Source organism: Homo sapiens, chromosome 7, assembly GCF_000001405.40.
Source record: "Homo sapiens chromosome 7, GRCh38.p14 Primary Assembly".
NCBI lineage: Eukaryota > Metazoa > Chordata > Mammalia > Primates > Hominidae > Homo > Homo sapiens.
The window spans coordinates 117,279,826-117,287,074 of NC_000007.14; the positions used below are offsets into that span (position 1 = coordinate 117,279,826).

Consider the following 7,249-nt stretch of genomic DNA (forward strand, 5'->3'; position numbering starts at 1 on the left):
CAAAACGACTTATATCAGGATGAAAAAGACAGTGACTTAATTCATTTTCAGTTTCTCCATCATTTAACTAGGAATGTCTTCCTTTTGATATCTCTGACGATGCCTCGTGACTGTCTCTCTGTTTATCACAGTCCGCTCTGTGTTGGAATTATCTACAGAAATGTCATGTTGCCCTGCCTGTTCGGGATGACCAGGGAAGCAGCAAGGTTCAAGCAGGGCACGGGGTCAAGAAGAGGAGAGGGTGGGGCAGCGTTTGGTCAGAATGATTGGCGGCGGAGAGCAGGAAGACTGGCCGGGGAACTTCATGAGGACAGGAAGGATGGCAAAAGGCCGGGGTCAGGGTGGAGGGTGGGTCAGCCAGGGATGGCTCCGAGCCTGCATCGTGCTGAAGAAGCATGGGGTTAGAAGAGGCAGCAGCTCAGCTTGGATTCCAGGCAGCCATCAGGACAGTCCTCAAAATTTACTGATTATGCAGAAAGGACTCACTGCCAAATGCTGCCTCTTCACAGCACACCCATTATTTCATTCAGTAAACATTTAGTGAACATAAACATATGTAAGACACTGTGCCAGCTGCTTGGGGCTTGGGGCACAAGGGAGAATAAAATAAATAGGACCAAGTTCCTATTCTCAGTGAACCCTCTATATGGCGCAGAGTTAAATATGTAAAGAGATACTTCCACTACTTTGGGTTGTTTGATTTGCTAAGGACCTACTGTAACCCACAGTACAGTCATGTGCAAAGCACCACAGCAAACAGAGCTCAAAGACAGTCAAATGAGGTTATTTAGAGCTTGGACAATCAGCGTTCAAATCCCAGATTTGCCATGTATCAACTGTGTGGCCTTGGGCAAGTTACTTAAACTTGTTAAGCTTCAGTTTCCTCCTGTGCAAAACTGGAATAAAAATAGTTCTTTCATCATAGAGCTTTTGGTGAGAACATAATGAGATAGTGCATGAAAGTGCCTGGCATAAAATAAGTGCTCAATAAATGTTAACTATCCATATCTTCATCTAGCAAGTGTTTATTGAGTGACTACTATGTGCTAGGCACAGTTCTGGGAACATGGGATATATCAGAGAAAAAAAATGAAGATCCTGCCCTCAGGAGCTTATGTTCTAAGGGCATGAGCCAAGCATATTATAATAGTGATATTTCTTGGTATTAATAGTAGCAAATAGATCCATCAACTGCACAGTTTTACAGAGGAGGTAGCATTAGAGATAGGTGTAAAGGATGACTAGAAGATTTGCAGGTAAAGAATGGGGTAAACAGCAACCTGGGCAAGATAGAACCTTCTGGCAGAAATTCTGAGGGCAAGTTCACAACAGACTGCTGATTCAGGGAGGCTATTAGGGACAATGAGCATAGAAAGGGAGGCTGGAGCAACAGGTTAAAGGGTCTGTTGTTGTTGTTGTTATTGTTGTTTGAGACAGGGTCTCACTCTGTCACCCAGGCTTGAGGGCAGTGGCACGAACATGGCTCACTAGAGCCTCGACCTCCTGGGCTCAAGGAATTCTCCCATCTCAGCCTCTCAAGTGGCTGGGACTACAGGCACACACCACCCCATCCAGCTAATTTTTGTATCTTCTGTGGAGACAGGGTCTTGCCATGTTGCCCAGGCTGGTCTCAAACTCCTGGGCTCAAGCGATCCTCCTGCTTTGACCCCCACCAAAGTGCTGGGATTACAGGCGTGACTCACACGCCTGGCCTAAAGGGTCTTTATGCCATGCCACAGTTTGATTTTTATTACAAGGTGGGTGGTGGACCTGTCTAGACCTTTAATTCTGAAAACTAGGTCGCGAAGGTAAGTCTGGAAGAGCAGCTTAGGGCAGGGAGGAGGGCTGTTGGAATACTTCAGACAAGAGATATTGCGTGAAGAAACAAGCAGAACAAATACATGATTGGCTGAAGAGGGTGAACCACTAGAACTTGATGACTCATTGAATTAAGGAGTAGAGGGAGTGTCAAGTAGGAAAAGACTAAAAAAAAGTTAATTTGGCTGCACACCAAGGAGGTAACTGGCGCCCTCGATGAGAGCAGTTTCAGTGGATGACATAGATGAATGTGGTGGAGGAGAGGACATGGGGACAGTGAGTGTAGGTAAAGTTTTCAAGAGGCTTGGTGATGAAGAGGATGAAAGAGAGTAGGGCCAAGAGTGGTGATAAAAGCAAGGGTGGGACTTTAAGATTATTTTAGGCCATTACATTTTCCAGTGGTATGTTTTGCAGCAGTAGATATCTGCACAAGGTTTTCATTTCAGATTAGGTTTTCATGTACCTAAAGTACAAAAATGGGAAAAACTAGTCATTGCTATTAAAAGGAGGTGATTTTCCTTGGGGAATAGAGAAAAAGAGCATGAGACATGCCTCTGGAATACTGGGCCCCTTCAGGTTTTTTATCTGGGCACAGGTCATGTGGGTGTGTCCATTTGTGAAAATTCATTGTGCTGTACACATGGAATGTGGGCACTCTTCTGCATTTCATATTTCAATAACAAGAAGAAGGTGGTAGAGGAAGAGGAGAAGGGGAGGGAGGAGAAAGAAGGGGAAGAGGAAGAAGGGAAAGAGGAAGAGGAGGAGGAAGACAAGGAGGAGGAAGAGAAGAGGAAGAGGAGAAAGAGGAGGAGAGGAAGGAGGAGGGGGAGGAGGAGAAAGAAGAAAAAGGAAGAGGAGGAGGAAGAGAAGGAGAAAGCAATGGTGGCATGTGCCAAGGCCAGGAAATGAGCAAAGCTCTGCAACGTGTGAGGAGCAGGAAAGTGTTCCCTGTGGCTGGTATACAGTACTCAAAGGGGAGAGTGTCAGGAGATGAGGCTGGAGTGGTGAGGGGAAGCTGCACTGGGAATGGTCAAGGGGTTTCAACTTGACCTTGAGGGCAACAGAATGCTATTAAGGGCCTTCACACAAAAGGGCAACATGTTCTCATTTGTGTTTCAGAAGGATCTCCAAGGGTGTGGGGCTGGAATGAAGTGGAGGGGGCTGGAGTGAGGACAAGAAGACAAGTTAGAGACCAATACAGACTCTGGGCAGGACATGAGTGGCCTGGATTAAGACAGTGGTAGTGGGAACTGGAGCGGTTACTAGAGTCAAGAGAAGGTGAGGAGGCAGGACCTGTGGGACATGGTGACTGAGTGGAGACTGGGGGAGGATGAGAAAAGTCAAGGTTTCTCAGGTTCTGGCCTGAGTGACTGTTGGTGCTGTTAATTCCCTGACATGGGGGACACTTGGTTAGGGGTCAGCTTAGAGAAAAGATAATGAATTCAGTTTTCAACAGGTTGAGTTTGCTGTGACTGTGGGGCATTCAGGTAGAAATGTTTGCTGAAAATACTCTCTGGGACTCAGGAGAGAGGTGGGCATGAAGACTCAGGTTTAGAAATCTTTTGTGCAGTGGTGGTAACTGAAGCCACGGGTGTGAATGAGACCCCCAGTGGGTGTGAAAAGTGCTCTCACTTGGTATCCCAGAAGTGACTCTTAATTTTTACTTTTTTGTTATTGTTCACATGCGCTGAGCAGCAGTAAACATTCTTCCCTTCTACTGATCTGTATTTATCAAAATGGGAATACCGTACCATGCATTAGAATTCTTTATCTGCCGTAGGGCTTTGGGCTTAAGGGGGCCAGGATAAGGAGGTGAAGTGTCTCGTTCCTGACTCAGACTGTTGGCCTTTCACTGAAATCTAACTTGGTAGTCTTTCTTTCCTGAGTGGCTTCCAGCCTAAGAAGGTTTGAGCTTGTGGTCTGACTCAGCCTTCTGTAATGGTCATGGTGTCTTTTGTCCCCCAGATGCAGAAAACTGAACCAGACTGTCTGAACAGAAGGATTGCTCAGTGTAGTGACCTCAACACCATCAGAACTCAGAGAGAGGAGCAGACAAAGCTATGACCATTGACAAAAGCTTAACTCAGAAGTGGTTTCAGTAAAGGGAACAAAGCCTCTGGCAATATGTCTCAGTAGTTCAATGTTCAGTTATAAAATGCTGGAAAACACAATCTGAACATGCCACTCTCCACCGGCTGCCCAAACGGCATAATGAGGGCCCAGAAGATGGAAAATGAGAGAGGGTTTTTGAGGATTGAGAGCCACTGATGAGAGAACAGCAGTGAGGTCGCAGCCTGGAGCTGTGACGGGCCCCCATGAGGCATCGGGGCACCAAGGAATGGGCCAACTGGGCGGGAAAGGGCAGTCCCTGCAGCTGGAAGGGAGGATGAGGCTGCCTAGTGATGGATGACAAATTGGCCCTGTTTGGGGGTTTGGATCTAATTAGATCTAATGACAGGCTGTAGGGCAGAAGGGCAGTTTTGACACTTGCTGTCATTTTAGCAGAACATACAGCCATTTCATAGAAACCCTGAAAAGAACATTTCCAGAGTGCAGAATCTATACAAAATCGCTGGCATTACTTTCCCCTTAATGAATTACAATAAAGACTCATTATTATCAATAGCAGTAGGGCCATACTGTTCCATTGGTCTTTCCAAAACAGAAAGCATCACCATTATGTTTCCAATAAAATATAAGAACCAAGAGTATGTGTGTATGTGTGTGTGTTTTAATGAAAAGGAGCCACTGACTTTTACCAACTGCCTATTTGTTTAGTTCTAAATCTTTGGGACACATACTTTTAGATGTTTTTTCTCAAATAATATACAAACTTGTTAACTGAGTCACTCACCCTTGCTTGGGCCACAACAGGAACCACTGGGGAGACAAACCCAGCTACATCTATCAGCCTTAATCCCATAAGGGTGAGTTTTCACATTTTCCAAGCTGAATGGAGTGAAAGTTCATTCATCCTTTCTCACTTTTTTTTCCCATTCCTTCTTCTTCTTTCTTCCTTTCCCTCTATCTTCTTTTCACTCTCTTTCTTTTCTTTCTGTTCACAACTGGAGCCAATATTTATGGAGCACTTATGTGAGCTAGGCCCCATGCTAAGCATTTTGCCTGCATTGTCTAATTTAATTCTCATAAGCTTATAAGGAAGGTACTATTATTATCACCATTTTGGAAATGAGGAAATGGAGATTCAGGAAGATTAAGTAACTTGCCCAAGATCACACAGGCAGCTGGTGGCAAGGACAAGATTTGCAAGCAGGCTTGCCTGACTGTAGAGCTCAAGCTCTTGACAGTCGTGACATTCTGACCCTTTGCCGAGTGCCCAGTCCTGGTGCCCGGCCAGGCACCAGAAAGCAGCCTGCTTTATAACATTATGTGACCAGTGCAGCAGCGTCTTTCCCGTACTCTCTTCTAATTCTTTTATCAAATGAGTAACGTGCAAAGATCCTGACATGTAACTTTTTGGGGAGAGGGCCTTTTTCTTCAGCTCATGATATGCTGTAGACAATTACAACACATAAAGTTATGTAAGAAACTGAAAAAAAGACTGGGTTAACATGGTGTCAGTTGCTCATGCTGCATTTTTCCTATACTGATATTCCTACTGGATGCCTGTAACCTTTAAGAGAAATGAGAATAATTTGTTTGTAATGCCAGGATGCATGTCTCCAAATTATGTGTGCCCTCAAGGTGGTTTTAATATGTCACTGATGTGGCCAATGCTGAGGACATTGAGCCCTCTCTAGGCAGAACCTTCTGGTTCAGAGAAGCCAATAGCATCAATTTGTATCTCATCAAGAATATAATTACTCAGTCTGATCATCTACCTAACTCTTCATACTTCATTTGAAGATTCTCTGAGCCATTTCCAACAGCCATCTTGATCTTTATAGGACAAATATTTGTACTACACTGTATCTACAAAACAAGTGTAGCTGGCTCTTAAAAATACTCCAGAAGAGACATTTTAAAAATAGTTTCAATTACCGGTCCTATCATTAGAGTCTCCCAAATTGATACTTTAAAAGGATAAACATATATTTGGATGCTTCACATTTAACATGTTTGTTCTACAAAATCATTCATGTTGGTTTATAATGTTATTTCTTATTGCAGTTTGATTTACATAGTTCACCTAAGAGGAAAGTGACAAGTTGGAAATTCATTTTCCCTGACTTCCTTTTGCTTTATATTTGTGAAGTATTCCCAGGATGTGTGGCCTGCCTGAGTCCAGAGCCCAACTCCCAGACACAGAAGGTTGCAGACTCGAAACTTCTTGTCATCTTTATACCAAACAATTGTGAGATCATCGTCCTAAACCCAGTGTCTATAAGATCCAGGCAAAGTCGTTAAGGTTTGGCAATGTCTGTGCTGTGGGAAGGAGCTGCTTCCAGCCAGATGGACCTTTTGCTTGCCCATATGTGTTGTCATCCTGACTCGCACAAGAGCTCACAAATGCATAAGATTAAAAAAAAGGACAAAGAATTGGAGTTTCTAAATCACATAAGTTTGGGACCATGTAACACTTTTGGTGGAGCAATGCCGAGGGAACTTGATGGAATTGAGCATCCCATTTCTAGAGCTATAAAATTAATAATGGAGTCAGGGTTCCCAGTGTAAAAACATTTCTGTCTCCACTAACATGCATCTTGCTGACAGCAGAGGAGGAACAGAGGGGTTTTTGCTAATAGTTCCCAGACCCATACCTCTGGGACCCGGAGGAAGGGGTCCCTCCTCTCTCAATCTCTCTTTCTCTCTCTCTCCCCGCCCTTCTCTCCCTATTCTCTCTCTGTCTCTATCTCTCCCTCTCCTCCTCACCTCCTTCTCCCCCCATCCCCTCTCTCTGGATAGACCTGTGTCTGGAAATTCCTGCCACTCTAGGATGACAGAGGCCCATATGTTGACTATTAGGGCATAAACCAAGATTCACTTAAGCCTGTCATCCAATAGGCTGTTTCTCCTCTGGTTGTCTTACATGTTGTCATTAATGACACAGATTTATTGAGGGAACTAAAGTATGTTAAAGAGCAAATGTTAGAGACCGCACATTCATCCACTGGTCAGGCTCACCCCTTCCTCACATTTGGACTGCACAGCTTAAGCTACATAGGAAAGACAATATCTTCACTTATCTCAGATGATTTTATTCAGTGTTTTCGTAAGTTGGAAAAGTTTGACTGGCACAGGAAAGCATGTCCCATTAAATTAGCAAATCTTGTAATGGAATTAAAGTTGTTCTGGTCAGACTCTGTGAGGCTTTCCATATCTGGCACTACATAGCCTACTCAAAGCTATTTCCCACTGTAGTCCACCTATACCTGCTAACCAGGGTATCTCTTCACTGTCCCACTGAGGTGACTTTCTGATGTCACAGTCATGTAGACTGTTTCCTCATAAGAGTTACTCTCGGCCGGGC

At 44.3% G+C, this 7,249-nt stretch overlaps 1 protein-coding gene across 2 annotated transcripts in view, besides 4 other annotated features; it reads right to left on the reverse strand.

Moving 5' to 3' along the window:
* WNT2 (Wnt family member 2) overlaps positions 1 to 7,249 on the reverse strand; it is a 47,608-nt gene that overhangs the window by 4,375 nt on the left and 35,984 nt on the right. The gene's annotated exons all lie outside the window — the stretch shown is intronic.
* Positions 6,378 to 6,683: a silencer, noted in NCBI's record as "conserved region 12 (CR12) negative regulatory element (NRE) in the greater CFTR locus". NCBI's record gives its function as "strongly represses a gamma-globin promoter coupled to the HS2 beta-globin enhancer in the forward orientation in transfected K562 cells {active_cell/tissue: K562}" and the evidence as "EXISTENCE:reporter gene assay evidence [ECO:0000049][PMID:18436892]".
* Positions 6,378 to 6,918: a biological region, named in NCBI's record as "greater CFTR locus negative regulatory elements CR12 and CR13".
* Positions 6,562 to 6,683: a transcriptional cis regulatory region, noted in NCBI's record as "CR12 region containing three CT-motifs that were deleted in the CR12_d3 construct; the nucleotide coordinates are approximate for this feature". NCBI's record gives its function as "necessary for CR12 silencing of a gamma-globin promoter coupled to the HS2 beta-globin enhancer in transfected K562 cells {active_cell/tissue: K562}" and the evidence as "EXISTENCE:reporter gene assay evidence [ECO:0000049][PMID:18436892]".
* Positions 6,675 to 6,918: a silencer, noted in NCBI's record as "conserved region 13 (CR13) negative regulatory element (NRE) in the greater CFTR locus". NCBI's record gives its function as "modestly represses an SV40 promoter coupled to the HS2 beta-globin enhancer in the reverse orientation in transfected K562 cells {active_cell/tissue: K562}" and the evidence as "EXISTENCE:reporter gene assay evidence [ECO:0000049][PMID:18436892]".